The following is a 27,646-nucleotide window of genomic DNA, read 5'->3' on the forward strand; positions in this document are numbered from 1 at the left end:
TCCCTTGCCACAGGATATTTAAGCAATGCTGTGTCTTGTCTGAGGCTCAGACCTGCTATTCTTATTGGCACTTGGGACCTGCATGGTTTTTGGCTTCACCTCCAGCTTTAGCCATTTTTCTTCTGTTCTTTTAGGTAAGGATTTTCTGCCCCAGACCTCAGATTCCCATTTCCTTCCTAGCTTCTCTGCTGTTATAGCTCAGTCTCTTCCAAGACCATGCAAGATTCAGACCCTAGTAGGAGGAGATGGAGGAACTAGGACTTAAACCCACATCTTGTGATTCCAAGGCTGGTTCCTCTTTTGCCCTGCACCACACAGCTGTCTGCTCACAGTCATGTGACAGGGGCTTCCCCAGCCAGAACCTCCAGGGAGCACAAATAAAGGAAAGAGCTGGAAGGCACAGTACAGCATTTGTTCTGTCCAAGCCTTACATATCAGCATGGGCAGGGAGAATGTGGTGAAGTTTTCTTTCAAGGACTTTGTTTGATAAGGAAGGACATTTATCAGTGAAGAGAGGTTTTGAGGGAAGTGAACCAATCTTGAGATAAGTACACAAAAGAGCTTTGAGTCTGGTGTTTCCCTGTTTGCTTCTGCCCCCTGGAGGAGCAAATACTCCATGATTAGAGACGTGTGAGTCCTTTGGAATAGAATAGCAGTGATGGAACTGGAGTCCTAGTCCAGGTTCTCTCCTTGTTCAGCCTGGATTCAGCACTGGGTATCGAAACAAGCCTGCACCCTCAGAGGAGATGGCTAGGGGACAGTGCGTCCAGGCCTCTTCTACCACACAGAGTTTTCTTTTTTTTATAAAGGGTATACACATTTAAAATTTAATGATACTCCCAAATTGCTCTTCAAAAAGGCTGTGCAAAATTACAGTCCTGATAACAGCTACCCAGAGATCCTGTAACGGCATTTGCCCTCATCATTATTATTATTATTATTATTATTATTATTATTATTTGAATTTGAGACGGAGTTCTGCTCTGTTGCCCAGGCTGGAGTGCAGTGGCGCAATCTTGGCTCACTGCAACCTCTGCCTCCCGGGTTCAAGCAATTCTCCTGTCTCAGCCTCCCTAGTAGCTGGGATTACAGGTGAGCACCACCACGCCTGGCTAATTTTTGTATTTTTAGTAGAGACGGGGTTTCACCATATTGGCCAGACTGGTCTCGAACTCCTGACCTCAGGTGATCTGCCCGTCTCGGCCTCCCAAAGTGCTAGGATTACAGATGTGAGCCACTGGGGCTGGTTGCCCTCACTATTTAATGGGTTATTTGCAACCTGTGAATCATGTCTCCTATTTCCTTGTTAATGATGCTTATTGATTATAGACTTAGGAATATCAGCACCTCCTTTGTAGCTCTTCATTCTTACATGATATAATAATTAATTTTTTTTTTTGAGACAGAGTCTCACTCTGTTGCCCAGGCTGGAGTGCAGTGTCACAATGTTGGCTCACTGCAACCTCCACCTCCTGGGTTCAAGCGATTCTCCTGCCTCAGCCTCCTGAGTAGCTGGGACTACAGGTGCGTGCCACTACACCTGACTAATTTTTGTATTTTTAGTAGAGACAGGGTTTCGCCATGTTGGCTAGGCTGGTCTTGAACTCCTGACCTCAGGTAATCTGCCCGCCTCAGCCTCCCAAAGTGCTGGGATTACAGGTGAGCCACTGCGCCCAGCCAATAATTCATTGTTTAATCCTTAGTTGTGGGCCAAGCAAAGGAGAAAAGTAAGAAGCCTTTTCCTTTTACCGATAGGAAAGGTCAAAGGACTTACCTGGTGAATTATTTACCTAAAAATGTATACAAATCACTCCAAAATTTAGTGGCTAAAAACAACAGTACTAATTTAATTATATCTTCACAGTTACTAATTTAATTATATCCTCACCTGTGGGTGAGGAATTTAGGAGCAGCTTAGCTGGGCTGTTCTGGCCCAGAGTCTAGTGAAGTTGTGGTCAGTTGTCAGCTGGGTCATCTGAATGCTTGATTGGGATTGGAGGCTCCACTTCTATGGTGGTCACTCACATGACTGAGAAGTTGGTGCTAGCTGTTGGCAGGAAGCCTGTTCTTCATGTGGGCCTCTCTGAGGGACTGCTTGAGTACTTTCATGATGTGGTGGTGGGCTTCTCCCAGAGTGAGCCACTCAGAAGAGAGAAAGATTGTGAGGTCTGGACTTCAATAAGAAGATTGTTGAAGAAAAAAAGGTTTTGTCCCCCCTTGGTTTGATTGGACTAGAGTGGGCTCAGTCTGTGCCTGTGGCTGGCATCAGGCAGGAACAGTGGTATAGCAGGGTATAGACCATATTTAGGGACCTAAAATCACATCTTTCATGATTCATGTGGTTCTTGTTCCAACTGCCCAGGACTCAGGCACATCAAAATATGACACAAAAGCAGAAGCTTTTCATAATGGAGATTAGACCATGTCTAGGATTCCTACCCAGTCCTCTTGAGCTCTCCTCACTCCAGTGTTGTTTTCCGTGTTTGTTTTTTGTTTTCCCCAGAGCTTCTTCGAGACACCTTCACTTCCCTGGGCTATGAAGTCCAGAAATTCTTGCATCTCAGTATGCATGGTATATCCCAGATTCTTGGCCAATTTGCCTGTATGCCCGAGCACCGAGACTACGACAGCTTTGTGTGTGTCCTGGTGAGCCGAGGAGGCTCCCAGAGTGTGTATGGTGTGGATCAGACTCACTCAGGGCTCCCCCTGCATCACATCAGGAGGATGTTCATGGGAGATTCATGCCCTTATCTAGCAGGGAAGCCAAAGATGTTTTTTATTCAGAACTATGTGGTGTCAGAGGGCCAGCTGGAGGACAGCAGCCTCTTGGAGGTGGATGGGCCAGCGATGAAGAATGTGGAATTCAAGGCTCAGAAGCGAGGGCTGTGCACAGTTCACCGAGAAGCTGACTTCTTCTGGAGCCTGTGTACTGCGGACATGTCCCTGCTGGAGCAGTCTCACAGCTCACCATCCCTGTACCTGCAGTGCCTCTCCCAGAAACTGAGACAAGAAAGGTGAGCCCCCAGGAGGTGGTCAGTTCCGGACCACCTGCTTATTTTCGTGCCACCAGGATGGGAATTACCACTGTGCCACATTTGCTGCCCATCTCTTCCGGGAGGAAAAGAGATTTTCCCTCCTGCATTGGGCTTGCCCTAGGACTACAGTATAGACCCGGCATGATTTATAAATACTTTGTAGTTAGTTAGTTTGTAGTTTGAATACTTTTCTTTAAAATTAAGAAATTTTCAGCCTGGGCAACAAAGTGAGAACTTGCTCTATAAACATTTTTAAAATTAGTTGGGTGTGGTGGTGTGCGCTTATAGTCCCAACTGCTTGGGAGGCTAAGGTAGGAGGATTGCTTGAGCCCAGGAGTTTGAGGCTGCAGTGAGTCGTGATTGCACTACTGCACTGCAGCCTGAGCAACAGAGGGAGACCTTGTCTCCAATAAACAAATAAATAAATACAAATAACAAATTTATTTATTTTTATTTATTTTTTTTTTTGAGATGGAGTCTTGCTCTGTTGCCCAGGCTGGAGTGCATTGGCGCAATCTTGGCTCACTGCAACCTCCACCTCCCAGGTTCAAGCAGTTGTCCTGCCTCACCCTCCCAAGTAGCTGGGATTACAGGCATGTGCCACCACGCCCTGGCTAATTTTTGTATTTTTAGTAGAGACTGGGTTTCACCATGTTGACCAGGCCAGTCTTGAACTCCTGACCTCAGGTGATCTGCCTGCCTCAGCCTCCCAAAGTGCTAGGATTACAAGCGTGAGCCACTGCGCCTGGCCACAAATTTTTATTTTTAATTTTTCTTTTTTTTTTTTTTTTTTTTTTTTTGAGACAGAGTTTCACTCTTGTTGCCCAGGCTGGAGTACAGTGGCATGATCTTGGCTCGCTGCAACCTCCGCCTGCTGGGTTCCAGTGATTCTCCTGCCTCAGCTTCCCGAGTAGCTGGGATTACAGGCGTCCGCCATCACACCTGGCTAATTTTTGTATTTTTAGTGGAGACAGGGTTTCCACCATGTTGGCCAGGCTGGTCTGCAACTCCTGGCCTCAAGTGATCCACGTACCTCGGCCTGCCAAAGTGCTGGGATTACAGGCATGAGCCACCATGCTCAGCCACCTTCCAGATCTTTTTTTATTTGATACCCACACAGTCATGTAGAAGTATATCTTTTTTGTTTGTTTGTTTTTTGAGATGACATCTCACTCTGTTGTCCAGGCTGGAGTGCAGTGGCACACCTCGGCTTACTGCAACATCCACCTCCCGGGTTCAGGCAATTCTCCTGCCTCAGTCTCCTGAGTAGCTGGGACTACAGGCGCACACCACTACGGCTTTGCTAATTTTTGTATTTTTAGTAGAGATGGGGTTTCACCATGTTGGCCAGGCTGGTCCCGAACTCCTGACCTCAAGTGATCCTCCTGCCTTGGCCTCCCAAAAGTGAGCCACTGCGCCCAGCCTGGAAGTATGTTTGTAAGCCCAGATGGAATCATCATCTATTGTTTCTTTTTTTTAATTAAAAAAATTTTAATACAGTTCAAATCCCCATGTCTGGCTCATTTCAGCTCCTTTACTGCCAAAGCAGGGGACAAGGACTGCTTCAGTTTCTCTGCCTTCTCTTTCTCTGAAGGTATCTGCTGCATTGAACTTGAAAGTTCACATTATCCTTATTTTTCTTGATCTTGACAGATTTGGCATCCTTTCACCTGGCTGTGAGCAGAAAGTCCTTGATTTCCTCAATTTTGCAAGGCATGGCGATGAGGCACACAGGGAGAGGACAAGGACAGGCACCCCTCTATCCCATGTATCACCCAAAAGACACTCACAGCCTGCCATCACTTTATAACCTGCTTTTAGTTTGTTTAACAGTAGATCACAAACATTTTTGCATGTCAGTAGTCACATTTCTACAGCATCAGTTTAATGTATGCACAATAGCCCATAATATGGCCATAGCTTAATTTACTTGATCAATCTTCAGTTGTTGCACAGTGTTTGCTTTCATACGAAGTAAGTATTAAACATCCTTGTAACTTAGTATTTGTTCTTATCCTTAATTGTTTTCTAGGGGGACAATTCCCGGAAGTGGAATTACAGAGTCAAAGGACATGCATTTTTCAAGCCTCGGATGCATCTTACTAGATGTCCTATAGGATGGTCATATCAGCTTTATAGGAGAGTAGCTGTGTCCCTGAATTCTCCCTGACACTGCATGCTCTTATATTTCCTCAAGTTTTGACAATTTGATAGGTGAAAAGTGGTATCTGACTGTTCAGATCTGGAAGGCTTTGTTATATAAACATTTTTTTAATGTTTATTGGCAAGAATACTTTTCTAAGAGAAACATCAGTGAGCTGGTTTCCATTTAAGCTGAATGAAGCCACAATGTACCTCAAGTATAAGATTAACTGGCCTTTTTCAGTTGCACTCTAATTACAATTTAGAATGATGTTTCTGAGCCACCTGTCAAATGCATTCTGGGCTGTACCTCTGCGTACCCCAGGAATAAATCTCATGGCCTTCTTTACCTGGCCTCCTTAGTGGTGGCCCAGCAGGAAGCGGGGGTTAGAGCAGGAGCCACTCAGCCTTCCAAGATAGATACTCCATGGGCCGGTGGTATTACTGGCCTTTTGAGCCCATCCCCATTTGCATAGATGATCCACGTGGGTTATCATCTGGCTGGTATGTTCCCAGAGTGAAACTCAGCAGCCCCTTGAGGGAGGGGATGGTGGCCATCAGGCCAGAGTATTGCAAGTTAGTTTGGATCATTTGCTAAGCAGCTTGTGGTGCCTTCAGAAAGGAACAGTTTCAAAGAACTTTCACATCTGTTGGCTCATTTCGCCCTAATGACAGTCTTCTCTTTGATATTTGCATGGCATTAAATTTTGCCTTTCTTGTTTTCTCCAGAAAACGCCCACTCCTGGATCTTCACATTGAACTCAATGGCTACATGTATGATTGGAACAGCAGAGTTTCTGCCAAGGAGAAATATTATGTCTGGCTGCAGCACACTCTGAGAAAGAAACTTATCCTCTCCTACACATAAGAAACCAAAAGGCTGGGCGTAGTGGCTCACACCTGTAATCCCAGCACTTTGGGAGGCCAAGGAGGGCAGATCACTTCAGGTCAGGAGTTCGAGACCAGCCTGGCCAACATGGTAAACGCTGTCCCTAGTAAAAATACAAAAATTAGCTGGGTGTGGGTGTGGGTACCTGTATTCCCAGTTACTTGGGAGGCTGAGGTGGGAGGATCTTTTGAACCCAGGAGTTCAGGGTCATAGCATGCTGTGATTGTGCCTACGAATAGCCACTGCATACCAACCTGGGCAATATAGCAAGATCCCATCTCTTTAAAAAAAAAAAAAAAGGACAGGAACTATCTTACTCAATGTATTAGTCATGTTTCTCTAGAGGGACAGAACTAATAGGATACATGTATATAAAAAGGGGAGTTTATTAAGGAGTATTGACTCACATGATCACAGGGTTAGGTCCCACAATAGGTCATCTGCAAGCAAGGAAGCCAATTCAAGTCCCAAAGCTGAAGAACTTGGAGTCCAATGTTTGAGGGCAGGAAGCATTCAGCATGAGAGAAAGATGGAGGCCAGAAGACTACACCAGTCTAGTCTTTCCATGTTTTGCCTGCTTTTATTCTGGCAGTGCTGGCAGCTGATTAGATGGTGCCCACCCAGATTGAGGATGGTCTGCCTTTCCCAGTCCACTGACTCAAATGTTAAATCTCCTTTGGCAGCACCCTCACAGATGTACCCGGGAACACTTTGCATCCTTCTATTCAATCAAGTTGATACTCAGTATTAACCATCACAGTCCATTTGGGCAACTATACCAAATTACCATAGACCAGGTGACTTAAACAGCAGTTATTTCTCACAGTTCCGGAGGCTGGGAAATCCAACATCTAAGTGGTAGCATATCTGGTGTCTGGTAAGGCATGCTTCCAGATCTTACCAGATGTCAGTCTTTTGATGTTCTCACATGGCAGAAAAAGAGGATGCAAACTCTCAAGTATATCTTTAAGGGCACAAATTCCATTCATGAGGGCTCTACCCTCATCACCTAATTACCTCCCAAAGGCCCCACCTTCTGATACTGTCACTTTGGGGATACTGTCTCCCCTTTGAATTCTGGGGGGAATACAAACATTCAGTTTGTAACAATAGCCTTATGATTTAGAGGTTACTTGTTCATTCACCTAGACCTCAAATTGCATTTTACAGCTAGTCAAGTATATCTTTCTCTGATTTGATAGTGTGACCTAAAAGGGGACCATTGTTTGAAATATCATTAGAGTTGCTTATTATTATTATTATTATTATTATTATTATTATTATTATTATTATTGAGACAGAGTTTCATTCTGCTGCCCAGGCTGGAGTGCAGTGGCATCATCTTGGCTCATTGCAACCTCTGCCTTCTGGGTTCAAGCGATTCTCCTGCCTCAGCCTCCCGAGTAGCTGGGATTACAGGCTCCTGCCACCACACCCGGCTAATTTTTGTATTTTTAGTGGAGACAGGGTTTCCACCATGTTGGCCAGCGTGGTCTTGAACTCCTGACCTCAGGTGATTCACCAGCCTCGGCCTCCCAAAGTGCTGGGATTACAGGTGTGAGCCACTGCACCTGGCCTATTATTATTTTTAAATTTTTTTTTTTTAATTGATCATTCTTGGGTGTTTCTCACAGAGGGTGATTTGGCAGGGTCACAGGACAATAGTGGAGGGAAGGTCAGCAGATAAACAAGTGAACAAAGGTCTCTGGTTTTCCTAGGCAGAGGACCCTGCGGCCTTCCGCAGTGTTTGTGTCCCTGGGTACTTGAGATTAGGGAGTGGTGATGACTCTTAAGGAGCATGCTGCCTTCAAGCATCTGTTTAACAAAGCACATCTTGCACTGCCCTTAATCCATTTAACCCTGAGTGGACACAGCACATGTTTCAGAGAGCACAGGGTTGGGGGTAAGGTCATAGATCAACAGCATCCTAAGGCAGAAGAATTTTTCTTAGTACAGAACAAAATGAAGTCTCCCATGTCTACTTCTTTCTACACAGACACAGCAACAATCTGATTTCTCTATCTTTTCCCCACCTTTCCCCCTTTTCTATTCCACAAAACCGCCATCGTCATCATGGCCTGTTCTCAATGAGCTGTTGGGTACACCTCCCAGACGGGGTGGCGGCTGGGCAGAGGGGCTCCTCACTTCCCAGATGGGGCGGCCAGGCGGACGCGCCCCCCACCTCCCTCCCGGACGGGATAGCTGGCCGGGCGGGGGCTGACCCCCCACCTCCCTCCCCGACGGGGCGGCTGGCCGGGCGGGGGCTGACCCCCACGCCTCCCTCCCGGACGGGGCGGCTGCCAGGCGGAGGGGCTCCTCACTTCTCAGACGGGGTGGCTGCTGGGCGGAGACGCTCCTCACTTCCCAGACAGGGTGGCTGTCGGGCGGAGGGGCTCCTCACTTCTCAGACGGGGCAGCTGCGGGCGGAGGGGCTCCTCACTTCTCAGACGGGGTGGCCGGGCAGAGAAGCTCCTCACATCCCAGACGGGGGGGCGGGGCAGAGGCGCTCCCCACATCTCAGACGATGGGCGGCCGGGCAGAGACGCTCCTCACTTCATCCCAGACGGGGTGGCGGCCGGGCAGAAGCTGTAATCTCGGCACCCTGGGGGGCCAAGGCAGGCGGCTGGGAGGCGGAGGCCGTAGCCAGCTGAGATCACACCACTGCACTCCAGCCTGGGCAACATTGAGCACTGAGTGGACGAGACTCTGCCCGCAATCCCGGCACCTCGGGAGGCCGAGGCTGGCAGATCACTCGCAGTCAGGAGCTGGAGACCAGCCCGGCCAACACAGTGAAACCCTGTCTCCACCAAAAAAATACGAAAACCAGTCAGGCGTGGCGGCGCCCGCAATGGCAGGCACGCGGCAGGCCGAGGCGGGAGAATCAGGCAGGGAGGCTGCAGTGAGCCGAGATGGCAGCAGTACAGTCCAGCTTCGGCTCGGCATCAGAGGGAGACCGTGGGGAGAGGGAGAAGAGAGGGAGGGGGAGAGGGCTATTTTTAAAATTTTTTAAAATTGCTGAACAGGGGTACCTCTGGGCAGTGTGTCAGAATACCACTTTTTAAATATTTTATGATTTATTTATTTTTCTATTTCTTGAGGTTTTAACTGATGTGTATCTGTATGTCTATTTGTGTATATTTTGTCATGATCATGTAACAGAGTCTGAAAAGTGTCGAAGAGACAGTTTTCAGGAACAACAAGCAATTATTCCTACTTTCCAAGTTATTTTGATGCCATGGTGGCTCATACCTATAATCTGAGTACTTTGGGAGGCTGAGGTGGACTGATCACTTGAGCCCAGGAGTTTGAGACCAGCCTGGGCAACATAGCAAGACTCCATCTCTACAAAAAAAGACAAAATTTAGCTGAGCGTGGTGGCGTGTTCCTGTAGTCCCAGCTACTTGGGAGGCTGAAGTGAGTGGATCCCCTGAGCCCAGAGAGGTCAAGGTTGTGATGAGCTGTGATCACACCACTGCACTTCAGCATGGGAGACAGAGTGAGACCCTGTTTCAGAAAAAATAAATAAATAAAACCACCAGCACCACAAACAACAACAAAAAGTTATTTTGTACTTGTTTTGAGCACAGGACTCCTGAGGGTATCTTTGCATTTAATATTACATAGGGGTGCCAGTGGGAAGTAATGTGTATGCTTGGCCTCATGAGCTAAAACCCTGTGTTAATTATGACAGAAGGAAAGTGTGTGAGAGAGATCTTAACTACCTAGCAGCTCTAGCTGCCATCTTGAACCATGAAGATACGGGCCACACGTAGGGGTAGCTGGGTAGTGAGCAGCAAGAAGCCTTGTTGGATGAGGGCACGAAGGAGCAGAATCACTGGAATCACTGTGTCAGCCCTAATTACCTACCTCTGGACTTTTATGTGAGGGGAAAAAAAATTGACAGTTTATATTTATCTCAACCTAGTTAACCCAAGTGATGCATTGTTATGAGATTAAAATGTTTGGAGGCCGGGTGCGGTGGCTCACGCCTATAATCCCAGCCCTTTGGGAGGCCAAGGCGGGCGGATCACGAGGTCAGGAGATCAAGACCATCCTGGCTAACATGTAAAACCCCGTCTCTACTAAAAATACAAAAAATTAGCCAGGCGTTGTGGCGGTCGCCTGTAGTCCCTGCTATTTGGGAGGCCGAGGCAAGAGAACGGCATGAACCTGGGAGGTGGAGCTTGCAGCGAGCTGAGATCTTGCCACTGCACTCCAGCCTGGGCGACAGTGCGAGACTCTGTCTCAAAAATAAATAAATAAATAAATAATAAATAAAATGTTTGGAATGTTGGCTTCATCCCTGGGATGCAAGGCTGGTTCAACATACGCAAATCAAGAAACATAATTCATCACATAAACAGAACTAAAGACAAAAACCACATGATTATCTCAATAGATACAGAAAAGGCCTTCAATAAAATTCAACGTTGCTTCATGTTAAAAACTCTCAATAAACTAGGTATTGATGGAAAATATCTCAAAATAATAACCATTTATGACAAACCCACAGCCATTATCATACTGAATGGGCAAAAGCTGGAAGCATTCCCCTTGAAAACTGGCACAAGACAGGGATGCCGTCTCACCACTCCTATTTAACATAGTATTGGAAGTTCTGGCCAAGAAAATCAGGCAAGAGAAACAAATAAGGGGTATTCAAATAGGAAAAGAGGAAGTAAAACTGTGTTTGCAGATGACATGATACTATATCTAGAAAACCCCATTATCTCCACCCAAAAGTTCCTTAAGCTGATAAGCAACTTCAGCAAAGTCTCAGGATACAAAATCAATGTGCAGAAATCACAAGCATTCTATACACCAACAATACACAAGCAGAGAGCCAAATCATGAATGAACTCCCATTCACAGTTGCTAGAAAGAGAATAAAATACCTAGGAATACAGCTAATAAGATGTGAAGGATCTCTTCAAGGAGAACTACAAACCACTGCTCAAGGAAATAAGAGAGGACACAAATGAAAAAACATTCCATTCTCGTGGATAGGAAGAATCAATATCATGAAAATGGCCATACTACCCAAAGTAATTTATAGGTTCATTGCTATTCCCATTAAACTACTATTGACATTCTTCACAGAATTAGAAAAAAACTACTTTAAAATTCAAATGGAACCAAAAAAGAGCCCGTATAACCAAGACAACAATAAGCAAAAAGAACAAAGCTGGAAGCATCACACTACCCAACTTCAAAGTATACTGCAAGGCTACAGTAGCCAAAATGGCATGGTACTGGTACAAAAACAGACACATAGACCAATGGAACAGAATAGAGACCAGAGAAAGAAGACCACACATCTACAGCCATCTGATCATCGACAAACCTGACAAAAACAAGCAATGGGGAAAAGATTCCCTATTTAATAAATGGTGCTGGGAAAACTGGCTAGCCATATGCAGAAAATTGAAACTGACCCCTTCCTTACACCTTATACAAAAATTAACTCAAGATTAAAGACTTAATGTAAAACCTAAAACTATAAAAACCCTAGAAGAAAATCTATTTAATACCATTCAAGACATAGGCACAAGCAAAGGTTTCATGACAAAAACATCAAAAGCAATTGCAACAAAAGCAAAAATTACAAATGGGATCTAATTAAACTAAAGAGCTCCTGCACAGCAAAAGAAACTATCATTAGAGTGAACAGGCAACCTACAGAATGGGAGAACATTTTTGCAATCTATCCATCTGACAAAGGTCTAATATCCAGAACCTACAAGGAACTTAAAACAAATTTACAAGGAAAAAAACAACCCCATCAAAAAGTGGACAAAGGACATGAACAGACACTTCTCAAAAGAAGACATTTATGTGGCCAACAAACATATAAAAAAAAGCTCAACCTTACTGATCATTAGAGAAATGCAAAGGAGAACCACAATGAGATACCATCTCATGCCGGTCAGAATGGTGATTATTAAAAAGTCAAAAAACAACAGATGCTGGCGAGGCTGTGGAGAAGTAGGAACACTTTTACATTGTTGGTGGGAATGTAAATTAGTTCAACCGTTGTGGAAGTGTGTGTGGCTATTCCTCAAAGATCTAGAACTAGAAATACTATTTGTCCCAGCAATCCCATTACTGGGTATATACCCAAAGGAATATAAACCATTTTATTATAAAGATACATGCACATTTTTGTTCATTGCAGCACTCTTCACAATAGCAAAGACACAATAGCAAATGCCCATCAAAGATAGACTGGATAAAGAAAATGTGGTACATATACACCATGGAATACTGTGCAGTGCAGCCATTACAGCTTTTGGTGATACAGTGAATCAGATTTTTCATTAATTCTTTTAATTGGTTATTACTGAACGTGAAAAAGTAATGTTTGTATTGAAATCTTGAGTCTGGCCATGTTTCTATTTTAAATTCATAAAGAATTCTAACAAGAGGAATTCCAAGAATGTCATAAATGGATGTTTCTCCATGGATGAAGGAACTGTTTTATTCACTTGCTGATAATTCAGCCTAATCCAGTTTGACATCATATAGATAAGTAGTTGAATTATGGATTTAAAATACATATCATTTTCTAACTCCAAAGGTAATACTTATTTAAATGGTTTTGAAAATATAGAAAGGCACAATTTCTTTTTAAATCTGTTATTCTCCACCACCACTCAATCTGTCTATCATCTATCTCTCCATTCATTCTTCCATTTGTTTATATCTGTTAATCTTTGTATGTGTTCATGTATAGCTTTTACATGATTGGAATCATAATGCATATTCCATTTTGAAGTCTGCTTTTTTTTACACAAAAATATGTTGTGAATATTTTCCTATATTATGAAATATCATTAGCTGAGCTTTTAGAATTGACTGCATGTTTTGGTACCATTTAGATATAGTTTAAGATACTTAGAAGTTATGTGGCTTTGCCACTATGGATGAATCTTATTTACTCAATATTAATTACTTACAAATAACCTCACCTAAACACTACTCAGCCATAAAAAGGAATGAATTAATGACATTCACAGCAACCTGGAGACTATTACTCTAAAGGAAGTAACTGAGGAATGGAAAACCAAACATTGTATGTTCTCACTCATAAGTGGGAGATAAGCTATGAGGATGCAAAGGCATAAGAAGGATACAATGGACTTTGGGGACTTAGGGGAAAGGGTGGGAGGGGGGTGAAGGATAAAAGAATACAAATTGGGTTCAGTGTATACTGCTCAGGTGATGGGTGCACCAGAATCTCACAAGTAACCACTTAATTACTTACGCATGTAACCAGATACCACCTGTTCCCCAAACACCTATGGAAATAATTTTGTTTTTTTTTTTAAAAAAGGAATGAGATCATGTCCTTTGCAGGGACATGGATGAAGCTGGAAGCCATTATCCTCAGCAAACTAACAGAGGAGCAGGAAACCAAACACCACATGTTCTCACTTGTAAGCGGAAGCTGAACAATGAGAACACACGGACACAGGGATGAGATCAACACACACTGGGGCCTGATGCAGGGGCCGTAGCGGGGAGAGCATCAGGATAACTAGCTAATGCATGTGGGGCTTAATACCTAGGTGATAGGTTGATAGGTGCAGCAAACCACCATGGGACACGTTTACCTATGTAACAAACCCGCACATCCTGCACTTGTATCCAGAACTTAAAATATTTTAAAAATCTTTAGAGAATACAAAAAAAAAAAAAAAGATTCTTCAATGCATACACAATAAAATTGCAGTTCAGTCAAACATTGGAAGTCTTTCTCTGACTGTCTAGTTGGTATCTTCATTTTCAGCTTCTTCAAGATCCCACTCCAAACACTGTTAGCTCAGCCAAATTGAACAGCTCATATCTCCTACCTCTGGATCTTTGGTTCTGGTGATTGTATATTTCTGGACCATCTGGAACCCCAGCATATCACCCTACCCCACATCTCCACATCCCCAAAATATAACCATACTTCAAGGGCAGTTCAAATACCATCTCCTTCTATCCTCCATGAAGTCAGTTATCTCTTCCATTGGAATTATCGCCCCCTCTCCTGAACAGTACTATTTCGTGTGAATCTCCTCCAAGCCTTCTTTTCATTTTATATCTCATGCTGTAATTCTTGGAAAGTATGCTGTAGCTCAAGTGCAGAATTCTCATCAGTTTTATCTTTATATCTCTCCTAAACACTTTACCTGATGAAGAGCCTGGCATACACATAAATATATATTGAATGAATCAGTGATGGATTGAAAAGAGAAATGATGGATCTCCTAAATTTTAACTTTTATAAAATATTTTGATACATTCATGACCTTACTTTAGCAAGCAATGAACGTGATGTAAACTATTGTTGATATAGTTTTTATATTGGAAGTGTAAGTAGTTTGTGGCATGGGATTGTGACATATCCTAGGTTTCCTCATCTTCTTTTTATTGAAATGTAATTCACAAGCCATAAAATTTGCCCCTTTAAAGTAAATGATGCAGTGGATTTTAGTATATTTACAGAGTTGTGCAATCATCACCACTATCTAATTCCAGAACATTTCCATCTACCTAGAAACTCCATACCAGTGAGCTGCCACTCTAATCCTCCTCTTCCCCCAGCCTCTAGAAACAATAATCCATTTTCTGTCTCTATGATTTGCCTGTTCTAGATATTTTATAAAAATAAACATGTGGCCTTTCGTGTCTGACTTCCTTCACTTAGCATGTTTCAAGGTTCATCTATGCTATAGAGTGTACCAGTGCTTCATTACATTTTATGGCTGAATAATACCCTATTGTGTGGATATACCGCATTTAGTTTATTCATCAGTTGATCGAAATTTAGACTGTTTCCACTTTTTTGCTATTATGGATGATGCTGCTATGAATATTCGTATATGAATTTTTATATGGATATATGTTTTCAGTTCTTCTGGGCATATACCTTAGAAGTGAGAGTGCTCATCATATAGTAACTCTATGTTTAGCCTTTTGAGGAACTGCCAAACTGCTTTTCAAAGTAGTAGCATCATTTTATATTCCCACCAGCAGTGTATGAGGTTTTTTTTATTTTTTTGTTTTTGAGACGGAGTCTCACTCTGTCGCCCAGGGTGGAGTGCAGTGGCGTTATCTTGATTCACTGTAACCTCTGCCTTCTGGGTTCAAGCCATTCTCCTGCCTCAGCCTCCCTAGTAGTTGGGAGTAGCTGGGTTTACAGGAGCTCGCCACCATGCCCAACTAATTTTTGTATTGTTTTTTGAGACGGAGTCTCGCTCTGTGGCCCAGGCTGGAGTGCAGTGGTGCAATCTCAGCTCACTGCAAGCTCCGCCTCCTGGGTTCATGCCATTCTCCTGCCTCAGCCTCCCAAGTATCTGGGACTACAGCCGCCCTCCACCACGCCCGGCTAATTTTTTGTATTTTTAGTAGAGACAGGGTTTCACCGTGTTAGCCAGGATGGTCTCTATCTCCTGACCTCGTGATCCGCCTGCCTTGGCCTCCCAAAGTGCTGGGATTACAGGCGTGAGCCACCGCGCCCAGCCAATTTTTGTATTTTTAGTAAAGACAGGGTTTCACCATGTTGGCCAGGCTGGTCTCGAACTCCTGGCCTCAGGTGATCTGACTGCCTTGGCTTCCCAAAGTGCTGGCATTACAGACATTAGCTACTGTGCCTGGCCTCAAGTCCTTTCTCATTTTAAAACTGCGTTATTTTATTTTATTTTTCTGAGATGGAATCTCACTCTGTCGCCCAGGTTGGAGTGCAGTGGTGCAATCTCGGCTCACTGCAACCTCCACCTCCTGAGTTCAAGCGACTCTCCTGCCTCGGCCTCCCTAGTAACTGGGATTACAGGCACCCACCATCACGCCTGGCTAATTTTTGTATTTTTAGTAGAGACAGGGTTTCGCCATGTTGGCCAGGCTGGTCTTGAACTCCTGAACTCAGGTGATCTGCCTGCCTCGGCCTCCCAAAATGCTAGGATTACAGGCGTGAGCCACCACACCCGGTGGGTTGTCTTTTTATTGTTGAGTTGTAAGCATTCTTTTTAATATTCTGGATACTAGTTTCTTATCAGGTACAATCTTTGTGAATATATTCTCCCATTCCATGGATTGTCTTCTCACTTTCTGGATACTATACAGTACAAGTTTTAAATTTTGATGAAGTTCACTTGATTTCTGTTTTTTATGTTATTGCTTATGCTTTTGGTGTCATACCTAAAAAACCATTGTCTAAATCAATTGCCTATGAGGTGTTACCCCTATGTTTTCTTCTAAAGTTTTATGATTTTAGCTCTTTGACCCATTTTGAGTTATTTTTGTGTATGCAGTGCGAGATAAGCATCCAGCCTCATTCTTTTGCACATAAATGTTCACTTGTCTTAGCATTACTTATTGAAAATACTATTTTTTCCCTATAGAATTATTTTATACTTATCACAAATCAACTAACTATAAGGGTTTATTTCTGGACTCAATTCTGTTGCTCTATCTTATGGTAGTACCACACTGTCTTGATTATTGTAACTTCGTAGTAAGTTTTGGAATCCAGAAATGTAGTCCTCTAACTTTGTTGTTGTTGTTGTTCTTCTTTTTTCTTTTGTAGAGATGAGGCCTTGCTATGTTGCCCAGGCTGGTCTCAAACTCCTGGCCTCAAACAATCCTCCCACCTCCACCTCCCAAAGTGCTGAGGGGTGAGCCACTGCAACTGGCCTGTTCTTTTTCAAAATTGTTAGGGCTGTATTGGGTTTACCTTTCCCTAAATTTTCATATAACTGTTAGGATTCACTTGCAAATTTATGTAAAAAGGGCCTCTGGAATTTTGATAGTGATTACACTGAATGAGAGGAGTTTGGCAGGACTGGTTTCCCAAGACCACAAGACCCTGTAAGACCCTGCTGATAAGACAGGATGTGGTAGAAAGGCCAACCCAAACCAGCCAAAACCATGATGGTGACAGAAGAGACCTCTGGTTACCTTTGCTGCCCATTCTATGGTAATTATAATACATTAGCACGCTAAAAGAAACTTCTACAGCACCATGATAGTTTACAACTGCCATAGCAACTTTCAGAAGTTACCCTGTATGGTCTAAAAGGTCCAGACCTCCCCACTTCTTTCCTGGAAAACTCATGAATAAGCCACCTCTTGTTTAGCGTATAGTCAAGAAGCAACCATAAATATAGCCAGTCAGCAGCCCATCAGGGCTACTCTTCCTATGGGGTAGCCATTCTTTTATTCCTTTACTTTCTTAATGAACTTGCTTTCACTTTATTCTGTCAGCATGCTCTTGAATTCTTTCCTGAACCCACTTGACCTCTTGGGCTGAGCCTTAACCTTGGGGTACTTTTGCCTATAACAAACATACAAAGATAAGTTTGGCTGGGCGCAGTGGCTCATGCCTGTAATCCCAGGACTTTGGGAGGCTGAGGATGGTGGATCGCTTGAGCCAAGGAATTTGAGGCCACCTTGGGCAACACGGCAAAACCCTGTCTCTACTAAAAATACAAAAATTAGCTGGGTATGGTAGCATGCGCCTGTAGTACCAGCTACTCGGAAGGCTGAGGTGGGAGGATCACTTGAGCCCGGGAGGTGGAGGTTTCAGTGAGCTGAGATTGTGCCACTGTACTCCAGCCTGGGGAACAGAGTGAGACCCTGTCTCAAAATAAAAATAAATTTGAGGTGTATTGCCATCTTAACGGAAGTTGTTACTGGTGGACGGTATCCAAGTTACTGGTGGTAAATCTGCAGCAACCTCAATTCTTTCCTCCTCAGAAGAAAGAATTTGACTGAGGGGCATAAGGCAGAAGGAGGGACCGAGGCAAGTTTCAGAGCAACAGTGAAAGTTTATTACGCTTTAGGCTGGGCACAGTGGCTCATGCCTGTAATCCCAGCATTTTGGGAGGCTGAGGCAGGTGGATTACTTGAGGTCAGTAGTTCGAGACCAGCCTGGCCATCATGATGATGAAACCTCGTCTCTACTAAAAATAGAAAAATCAGCTGGGCATGGTGGTCCATGCCTCTAATCCCAGCTACTCGGGAGGCTGAGGCAGGCGAATCAGTTGAACCTGGGAGGCGGAGGTTGCAGTGAGCCAAGAAAGTTTATTAAGCTTTAGAACAGTAAGGAAAGGAAAGAAAAGAAGGAAAGTATAACTTGGAAGAGGGCCAAGCAGGTGACCTGAGAAACCAGGTGCAGGGCTTGCCCTCTTGACTTGGGGTTTTATATGCTGGCATACTTCCGGGATCTTGTGTTACTTTTCCCCACTCCTGAGATCTTTTTGAGAAGCTGATGATCAGTCTCAGGTGTTTTCTATTGCGGGGGGGGGGGGCGGGCGGGGGAGCTGCCTGTCCCTGGCACCACCTGTGACCAATTATTACTTTACAGAAACATTTAACAACCGCCTGACCATCACCTGATGGTTGCCCAACACTCTTGGTGTGTGTCGGGGGAGCCCTCTCCTGCCTTGCTCAGACCTGAATGTACCCATTGTAACAAACCCCTTCTTTGTATACTTTGATATGGTGACATTTCTTGTCACTTGCCTCATTGTGAATTTTTATAGATGTGGCTAAGTCATATGCTTCCTTCTGAAAAATTATGTCAAATACTAGCAGTTTCTCACTGTTTTTTGCCCTAGAAACAACAAACTAACCTTGAAGTGAAAGGCCTTTCTGCGTTTATCTTACCTTTTTTGAGCAGCATTAAAACTGTTTTACTCAGACCAAGTGCCGTGGCTCATGCCTGTAATCCCAGCACTTTGGGAGGTTGACGTGGGAGGATTGCTTGAGCCCAGGAGCTCGAGATCAGGCTGGGCAATGAAGTGAGAGCCAGTTTCTACAAAAACATTTTTAAAAATTTGCTGGGCATGGTGGGACATGCCTTTAGTTCCGGCTACTCTGGAGGTTGAGGTGGGAGGATCACTTGAGCCCTGGAGGTTGAGGCTGCAGTGAACTATGATCTTGCCACTGCACTCCAGCCTGTGTGACAGAGCAAGACCCTGTCTCAAGAAAATCCATATAAACATATATAGTGGTTTCTTATATACAACATTTTAAATTTATTGATATATAAAATATGTATTTTAAATTTATATACTATACAATCTGTTATATAAAATTATTTTTATAATATATTTATATAATATATTTTAAATTTAAATATATTTATAAATATATATAAATATATATTGTACACATTACTCAATTTTTCTTTTTCTTTTTTTTTTTTTTTTTGAGACAGAGTTTCACTCTTGTTGCCCAGGCTGGAGTGCAATGGCATGATCTCGGCCCACTGCAACCTCCGCCTCCCAGGTTCAAGAGATTCTCCTACCTCAGCCTCCTGGATTACAGGCGCCCACCACCATGCCCGGCTAATTTTTTTGTATTTTCAGTAGAGACAGGGTTTCATCATTTGGCCAGGCTGGTCTCAAACTCCTAACCTCAGGTGATCCGCCTGCATCAGCCTCCCAAAGTGCTGGGATTACAGGCATGAGCCACCACACCCAGCCTACATTACTCAATTTAACCACGTCCACCTAGTTCCCTAGACAAACTATTGCTAATTTAACTTTTAGGAACTACTGCCATCTTGCGGAACTTTGAGGTTTTGCCACCCCAGAATTTCCTAGCTGCTCTGTTCTTCTATTATGTGGCATAGCAAACACAAAATGGGTCACTTTTTTTCTTTGGAGATGGGATCTTTCTATGTTGCCCAGGCTGGTCTCCAACTCCTAGGCTCAAGTGATCTTCCTACCTCAGCCTCCTCAATAGCTGGTACTATAGGAGACAGCACCACACTGCCCGGGCCTGGTTGCATTTTACTTGTCTAGCTATCGTCTCTTTCCTGTTGACTATCTGGAAATCTCTGATGGGGTCTTTAACAGAAAAAGTCTACTCCTTCAGACCTTAGTTTCATGCCATATACCACATATGACAGGTCTGGGAAGGTCTGGAATGTGTGGATAAAGGCGATGGCAGTGGCTGCTGCCATCATGCTGGCTGCAGCAGGGAGGCATGGCTCTGGGTGCACACTCCACGGAGCTGGTGGGTGCCCCCCACCTTCTGAGTTGGAGCGGGAGCTCCTCGGGTGCTGCTGCAGCTGCCCAAACCCAGCCACCCAGACTGCGGCTGTGGATCTGAGCCCCCCTGTGCTCTTGGAGGAGGGCTGGGAGCAGGCAGGATCTGCCTTCCTGGGTGCAGAGACCAGCTTGGTCACGGACACCCTAACCCAGTGGTGCTAGAGGAATTAGACACACATACAGAAATATAGAGTGTGGAGTGGGAAATCAGGGGGCTGACAGCCTTTAGAGCTGACAGCTCCGAACAGAGAGTTACCCACATATTTATTGACATCAAGCCAGTGATAAGCATTGTTTCTATAGATTATAGATTAATTAAAAGTATCCCTTATGGGAAACAAAGGGATGGGCCGAAACAAAGGGATGGGTTCTGGCTAGTTATCTGCAGCAGGAACATATCCTTAAGGCACATATCACTCATGCTATTGTTTGTGGTTTAGGAATGCCTTTTTGCAGTTTTCCGCCCTGGGTGGGCCAGGTGTTCCTTGCCCTCATTCCGGTAAAACAACAGCCTTCAGCGTGGCCATCATGGCCATCAAGAACATGTCACAGTGCTGCAGAGATTTTGTTTATGGCCAGTTTTCGGGTCAGTTTATGGCCAGATTTGGGGGACTGTTCCCAACACCAGGGTGTGGCTGCAGCCACCCTCCTAGGTGCAGGACCTGGGCATCTCTGCAGCCTGCACCCTGGGGGCCCCAGGAAGGACCCCCTCCCACCCCATCCCGCAGGCTTGGGGGTGTCTGCTCCCGCTGCCTGGCCTCTCTTCACTCCTGGCACCTTCTCCAATCTTGAAGTGGGGTTGGGGCCAAGTCCTGGGGCCTTGAATGGCAATGGGAGGCAGAAGGGGGCAGGTCCCCAGTAAGGTCCTCCTTCAGGCCAGGGAGGGCTGAAGGCTGGGGGTGGGGCTGCCAGTCCTGTGGATTGTAGTAGGGACTCATGGTGCCTCTTCTGGGTGCCCGTGGACAAATTGGCAGCCACTTCCTCCTCTCTGAGGTCCATAAAAGCCCTGGGCTCAGCCAGAGCAGGGCAGAGGATGGCCAGAGGACAAAGAGGGCAGAGAGGTGGTGGGATGACCAGCTGCAGAGAGGAGTACTCTCTGCTGATAGCTGGAGACAATGGGATGGCTGGCTGCAGAGAAGAGCTACCTTCTCCACTGAGAGCTGCAGAGACAACCTGCCAGCAGAGAGAAGCCACCCTTTCCAGGGCCTCCTCTCCACTGAGAACTGAGCACTGGACAGATGACCTGCCTACAGAGAGGAGCTACCCACTGTGGGCCTCCTCTGAGCTGTTCTAGCACTAAATAAAGCTCTTCTTCATCTTGTTCACCCTTCACTTGTCTGTGTACCTCATTCTTCCTGGACGCAGGCCAGAACTCGGGCAAAGGTGCTGCAGTCAGAGAGGTTTCCAGCCAGAAAATTGATACCCCAAAGATCCCGTAACAAAGGTATGGAGCAAAGTGGGGGTAAGGAGGTCTTGGAGGTTGGGGGTGTCAAATCTAGAAGACTTGCTACTTCAAGACCTTCTGAGGACCCTCATAGGTTGGGGTGGAGGTTTCAGTGCTCTGAGCTCTTCTCTAGCCAGTATATCCCTTCCTCCTCCCCCATGGCTTATGCCAATCCTTTAGGAGTCATTACTCTTTTTTTTTGGATGGAGTTTCGCTCTTGTTATGCAGGCTGCAGTGCAATGGCATGATCTCGGCTCACTGCAACCTCTGCCTCTCGGGTTCAAGTGATTCTCCTGCCTCAGCCTCCTGAGTATCTGGGATTACAGGCATGTGCCACCATGCCCGGCTAATTTTGTATTTTTAGTAGAGATGGGGTTTCTCCATGTTGGTCAGGCTGGTCTCAAACTCCCGACCTCAGGTGATTCACCCACCTCGGCCTCACAAAGTGCTGAGATGACAGGTGTGAGCCACCGTGCCCAGCCAGGAGTCATTACCCTTTAGTCTACCCAGACAGAGGGTGGGGAACTTGGACCACAGATTGTATGTCAAGGAAAGCCAACCACTGCTACCACTACCCCCTACTAATGTGGAACTAAAGCAGTAGTTGACATCCACCTCTACAAAAGGCCATGAAGGTTTTGATTGGCCCTTCACGTGCACTCAGTAGACTGCAACCAATCAGGAAAGAGATTGTAAGACGTGTTTATTCTACCACCATCAACATGCCCTCAGTAACTGTGTGTAGGAGGAAGTAGAAAATGCTGAGTACAAATATCTGCACTGCACGCCATCTCCCCTCTGTAACCTGATTCAAATGTTTCCCTGGAGCAGTAGGATAAAAGTTACAGTTTTACTTCCTGGGTCTTTATTCTACCTTTACCTTCCAGACCTAGATCAAATACTTCCTCCTCCAAGGAATGTCTGACTGATTGTCCCTTCTTAAAGCCCCTGTGGCACCAAAGTGAAGCCTCACTGTGGCATCACCACCCCCTGCCCGCAGTTACAGATGCTACACGATGTCATACTGAGATTCGGGCAATGGTAGCCCGGGGATCAAGAGCAAGGGGTTCGGAGTCAGAGAGACCCACGTTTGAGCCCTGAATTCTTGCTCATAGCTTTGGGATGGTGGCAAGATTCCTTGCCTCTCTGAATCTGGGTTTCCTCATCTATTGAATGTGGATAATAATGCCAGCTAAGGCTGGGAGTTGTTATGAGTTCATCAGAGAAGTTTAGAAATGGTAGTACCGGTCGCCATAGTTACTATGGAAAGCAGGTCACTTTGCTTTCCAATTGTGCCCAATTCAGGGCTTTGAATTGCCTGCTAAATATTTAATATTATTGAATCAAAGTTGAAAGAGTTAATATACTTTATGAACAGAGTGAGAGAAAGTGATAGTTTCAATAAGTTGCCTCCCTAAATGGCCCAATAAATTTAATATTTATAATAAAACAACTAAATAGAAGACCAAGACTTACGGCTTGTCTTTCTTCCTTTTTAAGTTATTTTCCAGAAAATAATATTTATATTTTAAGTTAAAGTAACTGCAAATTGGAAACCACAGGGGGAGCCCCAGGCTGGGACAAATAATGACTAGCCTGGTCCCAACAGAACAGGCAAAGAAGGTGGTCCCTACACTCTTTATGGTCAGTTGGGGCCCCCTCCTCACTCTGCTGCAGCATTCTAGGGTCAGGGCCCCACCTTCCCTGGAACTGGGGTAGTGAGTAACCCAGCCTGCTGTGCTCCGGCCCCCCTTTCCCAAGAAGGTTTTTTTTTTTTTTTTTTTTGAGAGAGTCTTTCTCTGTCGCCCAGGCTGGAGTGCAATGGCACGATTTTGGCTCACTGCAACCTCTGCCTCCCGGGTTCAAGCGATTCTCCAGCCTCAGCCTCCTAGTAGCTGGGATTACAGGCATGTGCCACCAAGCCTGGCGAATTTTATGTTTTTAGTTGAGATGTGGTTTCACCATGATGGCCAGGCTGGTCTTGAACTCCTGACCTCAAGCAATCTGCCCACCTCAGCCTCCCAAAGTGCTGGGATTACAGGTGTGAGCCACTGTGCCTGGCCAGGACTTGTCTTTTTCTTTTCTTTTTTTTTTTGAGAAGGAGTCTTGCTCTGTAGCCCAGGCTGGAGTGTGATGGCGTGATATCCGCTCACCGCAACCTCCACCTCCTGCCTTCAAGCGATTATCCTGCCTCAACCTCCCGAGCAGCTAGGATTACAGGTGTGTGCCACCACGCCCAGCTAATTTTTTGTATTTGTAGTAGAGACAGCGTTTCACCATCTTGGCCAAGCTGGTCTCGTGATCCGCCTGCCTCAGCCTCCCAAAGTGCTGGGATTACAGGCGGGAGCCACTGCACCTGGCCCCAGGACTTGTCTTTCTTAAGCACAGAAGTTCTCTGAATGATGCCTAGGACATGGAAAGGACATTTTAATACATTTGCTAATCAAAGCATCATAAATCTTGCTTTTTTTCCCCATAGATAAAACATCTTTCTAAGACTCTGTACCTCTTTCCAGAGTGCTGCACATTTGAGTTAGCTTAATTATAGTGTAGTGACTTTGATCCAAACTTGCTGGTTTAAATCTTGGCTCTTCCAGCCGCTCACTGTGTGACCTTGGGCAAATTAATTAACCTTTCTGTGCCTTAGTTTTCACATGTTAAAGCAGCAGTCATAGTAATAGTATTTATCTTACAGTGTTGTTGGGATGGTGAAATGAGTAAATATTTGTAAATGCCCTGGCACATGGTAGTTGCAATATTAGTGTGCAGTATTGTTTTTATGATTAGAAATAATGTCTTCAAAGTCTCACTTTCCTGCTGGTTTGAATGTGCTGTGAGAACACATACTGTCAGTTTTGCCTACCACAAATTTGTTGAGTCTCTTGCAGGTACCTCCAAATGGGCTTGTAATTCACCATCCCCACTTTTCTTTTTTTTTTCCTTTCTTTTTCTTTTTATTTCTTAATTTCTCCCACAAAGACTGAAAGTGAATCCCCACTTTTCTTTTATCTTTTAAAAATTTTATTTGTGGGCCGGGCACGGTGGCTCCATGCCTGTAATCCCAGCACTTTGGGAGGCCAAGGAGGGTGGATCACAAGCTCAGGAGTTCGAGACCAGCCTGGCCAACATGGTGAAACCTCGTCTCTACTAAAAATACAAAAAATTAGCCGGGCGTGGTGGCGCATGCTTGTAATCCCAGCTACTCGGGAGGTTGAGGCAGGAGAATCACTTGAACACAGGAGGCAGAGGTTGCGGTAAGTGGAGATCGCTCCATTGTTTATTTGCATGTGGACATAAGAAAGGGTTAACATGGCCGACAACTATTTCATGAGCTTTTTGGCTTTATTTGAAAAGTGAAGTGTGTTTGGGGAAGGAGTTGGTTAGGAAAACAGATGCTTCCCTTTTTGACTTACCAAGGAAATGGAGATCCAAAGGAAAGCCTGAAGCACTTTGTGGCTTCCACGGGTTCGTTTCTAGGAAGCTTTTGCTTTACCTGGGGAAACCCCAAGCTCTACAGTGAGAAAGTTGTAAATTAGCCTTTAGGAGACGCTGTTTGTCAAAGTTATCTTAACCCTGGAAAAGGGGAGGGAAAAAGGCAGATAAGCAGTGATGACATCAGCAGGAAACTAGTATCAGGCTACCCAGTCCTGAAGATTCAGTTTTCACTTAAACAACCAGCAAGTCTTGAAGTCTCTTCCCAAGCAAATGGGAGCTTCTTTGGACCTTGGAGCACACAGAGGATTCTACTTTCTTTAAAACTTTGTTTTCAGGCAATTTCCCTGAGAACCGTTTACTTCCAGAAGATTGGTGGAGCTTGATCTGAAGGTATGTAATTAACAACCCTTCTTACTCCAGAGTCTCATGCTTGAATCTTTTCCTTTGCTTCATGGCTTCGTGTTGTAGAAACTTGCAAAAACTTGTCAGCAATGGCACTATTTTTTCTTAGATTTCTTTGTCATGCCTGGGAAAACAAAAGTTAAAAAATCCGGAAGCCTCCAACATAGCCTTTTACCGGGGCAGAAATATGTTAGCTCACAGAGACAAAGTTTGGTAGACTCACTAAAACTAGAGATCAGAATTGTCAAGAAACCACAAGGCAAATGCTAGATGCGGTAGAATAGAAAGGTGTCTCCAATAAACCACTCATTTGACCTCAGGGCTAGTAGCAGGGAAGATCCCCTGGATTATCACATTAAAAATGACATTTTTTTGTTTCTTTTAACACCAAAAGTAATGTGTATGCTCACATATGCATAAAATTTGAGAAATTCAATTGGAAGCCCAGAAGGAAATTTGTATTATCTATAGTTATGTCACCTCGATATAACCACTGTTTGTTATGGAGGTTTTGATTTTTGCTGTGTCTTCCTTCCTTTATTTATTTATTTATTTATTTATTTATTTATCTATTTATTTATTTGAGACGGAGTCTCCCTCTTTCACCCTCCAGCACTCAAGCTGGAGTGCAGTGGCACAATCTTGGCTTACTGCAACTTCCGCCTCCCAGGTTCAAGCAATCCTCCCATCTCAGCTTCCTATGAAGCTGGGACCACAGGCATACACCACCAAGCCCAGCTAATTTTTGTATTTTTTGTAGAGACGGGGTTTCACCGTGTTGCCCAGGCTTGTCCCGAATTCCTGGCCTCACAGTGATCCACCTGCCTCAGTCTCCTGAAGTGCTTCTCTGATTATAATGAAATTTAGTATGTAGAATACCATAGTTTATAGACTAGTCAGATGGAAACATTGACTCATGTAATTTTTATCTTCCTTCGCTGATTTGAGCAACTCTTGTCTAAAATCACCCTTTCCTTCTGAGGTCTAGGAGGTTTTTTTGTTGTTGTTTTGTTTTGTTTTTGAGGCAGGGTCTTGCTCTGTCACCCAGGGTGGAGTGCAGTGGCACAATCATGGCTCACTGGAACCTCCATCCCCGGGGCTCAAATGATCCTTCTGCTTCAGCCCTCTGAGTAGTTGGGACCACAGGCGTGCACCACCATGCCTGGCTAATTTTTGTATTTTTTGTAGAGATGGGGTTTTACCACGTTGCCCAGTCTGGTCTTGAACTCCTGGCCTCAAGTGATCCACCCGCCTTGGCCTCCCAAAGTGCTGGGATTATAGGCGTAAGCCATGACACCCCACCTGTTCCTTCCTTTATAAAGTATTTTCTTGTTTCTAAAAATAGCCAAGTTCTGCATATTGACTACATACCTCAAGTGCTTATAGAATAAATAGTATTACAATGAAAATTTTATCACTGCATTGCTCCTCTGATTATGATGAAATTTAGTATAGAGAATAGCATAGTTTATAAACTGATCAGATGGAAACATTGACTCATGTAATTTGTTTTTTTTTAGTGAAAACAAGTTTATTAGAGAAGTAAAGAAACAAAAGAATGGCTACTCCATAGACAGAGCAGCCGACTCATGTAATTTTTAACTTCCTACACTGATTTGAGCAACTCTTGTCTAAAACCACCCTTTCCTCCTGAGGTCTAGGATATTTTATTTATTTATTTTTCTTTTTGAAACAGGGTCTCACTCTGTCACCCAGGGTGAAGTGCAGTGGCATGATCATGGCTCACTGCAACCTGTGCTCCCCAGGCTCAAATGATCCTTCCATCCTCGGCCTCCTGAGTAGTTGGGACCACAGGCATGTGCCACCATGCCCTGATAATTTTTTGTATTTTTAGTAGAGACCAGGTCTCGCCATGTTGCTCAGGCTTGAGGTCTAGGATTATGCCTTCCCTTTCTGTAAGATAAAGGCCTGCCCTCTTACAGGTAGCAGTCTGAAGTTAAGATGTAACACACATACCTCACGGTACCTTGCTGTCTTTGGGTTGATAGATCATAAGGATAACCCTGCCTCCCCCAGATTGCTTTGTGTCTAAAACTTAAAGCATAGAGCCAAGTGCTATTTCTGCCACGTGCTGGAAATGAATGTAAGGGCTCCAATCAGGCTACCAGGCTTGAGAAAAATTGTGCTGTGTCCCTCCATCTTAACTTTCTCTCTCTGGGAACATTTTGATTTGGGAGAAATCAAGGTGAATTGAATTCCAATATAAGCACCCTCCAAGTTTCCTAAAAAGTAA

General features: G+C 44.5%; 2 protein-coding genes and 1 pseudogene across 43 annotated transcripts in view, besides 2 other annotated features; 2 read left to right on the top strand and 1 right to left on the bottom strand.

Annotated features, from left to right (window-relative positions):
- The window catches only part of CFLAR (CASP8 and FADD like apoptosis regulator), a 60,524-nt gene extending 41,765 nt beyond the window's left edge, over positions 1-18,759 (top strand). For 6 of the 32 annotated variants that reach the window (NM_003879.7, NM_001202516.3, NM_001202517.3 and 3 more), the window contains 2 exons: positions 2,504-3,014; positions 5,907-18,759. In NM_003879.7, the coding sequence (NP_003870.4) occupies positions 2,504-3,014; positions 5,907-6,045 (650 nt within the window). In that variant the 3' untranslated portion in view covers positions 6,046-18,759. Of the gene's footprint in view, positions 1-2,503; positions 3,015-4,564; positions 4,630-5,067 lie in introns of those variants that run through there. The other 26 variants (NR_147250.2, NM_001351590.2, NM_001202519.3 and 23 more) reach the window with 12 other exon arrangements.
- Positions 163-242: an enhancer, noted in NCBI's record as "active region_16979". NCBI's record gives its function as "activates an Ori minimal core promoter by ATAC-STARR-seq in GM12878 lymphoblastoid cells {active_cell/tissue: GM12878}" and the evidence as "EXISTENCE:reporter gene assay evidence [ECO:0000049][PMID:35858748]".
- Positions 263-592: an enhancer, noted in NCBI's record as "active region_16980". NCBI's record gives its function as "activates an Ori minimal core promoter by ATAC-STARR-seq in GM12878 lymphoblastoid cells {active_cell/tissue: GM12878}" and the evidence as "EXISTENCE:reporter gene assay evidence [ECO:0000049][PMID:35858748]".
- Positions 4,506-4,828, bottom strand: RPL38P5 (RPL38 pseudogene 5; annotated as a pseudogene).
- Positions 25,213-27,646, top strand: part of CASP10 (caspase 10) — a 46,266-nt gene continuing 43,832 nt past the window's right edge. For all 11 annotated transcript variants that reach the window (XR_923043.3, XR_923044.3, XR_007082551.1 and 8 more), the window contains exon 1: positions 25,213-25,380. The gene's annotated coding sequence lies outside the window, so the exon portion shown is untranslated. The remainder of the gene's footprint in view (positions 25,381-27,646) is intronic.

This window comes from Homo sapiens, chromosome 2 (genome assembly GCF_000001405.40).
Source record: "Homo sapiens chromosome 2, GRCh38.p14 Primary Assembly".
Lineage (NCBI taxonomy): Eukaryota > Metazoa > Chordata > Mammalia > Primates > Hominidae > Homo > Homo sapiens.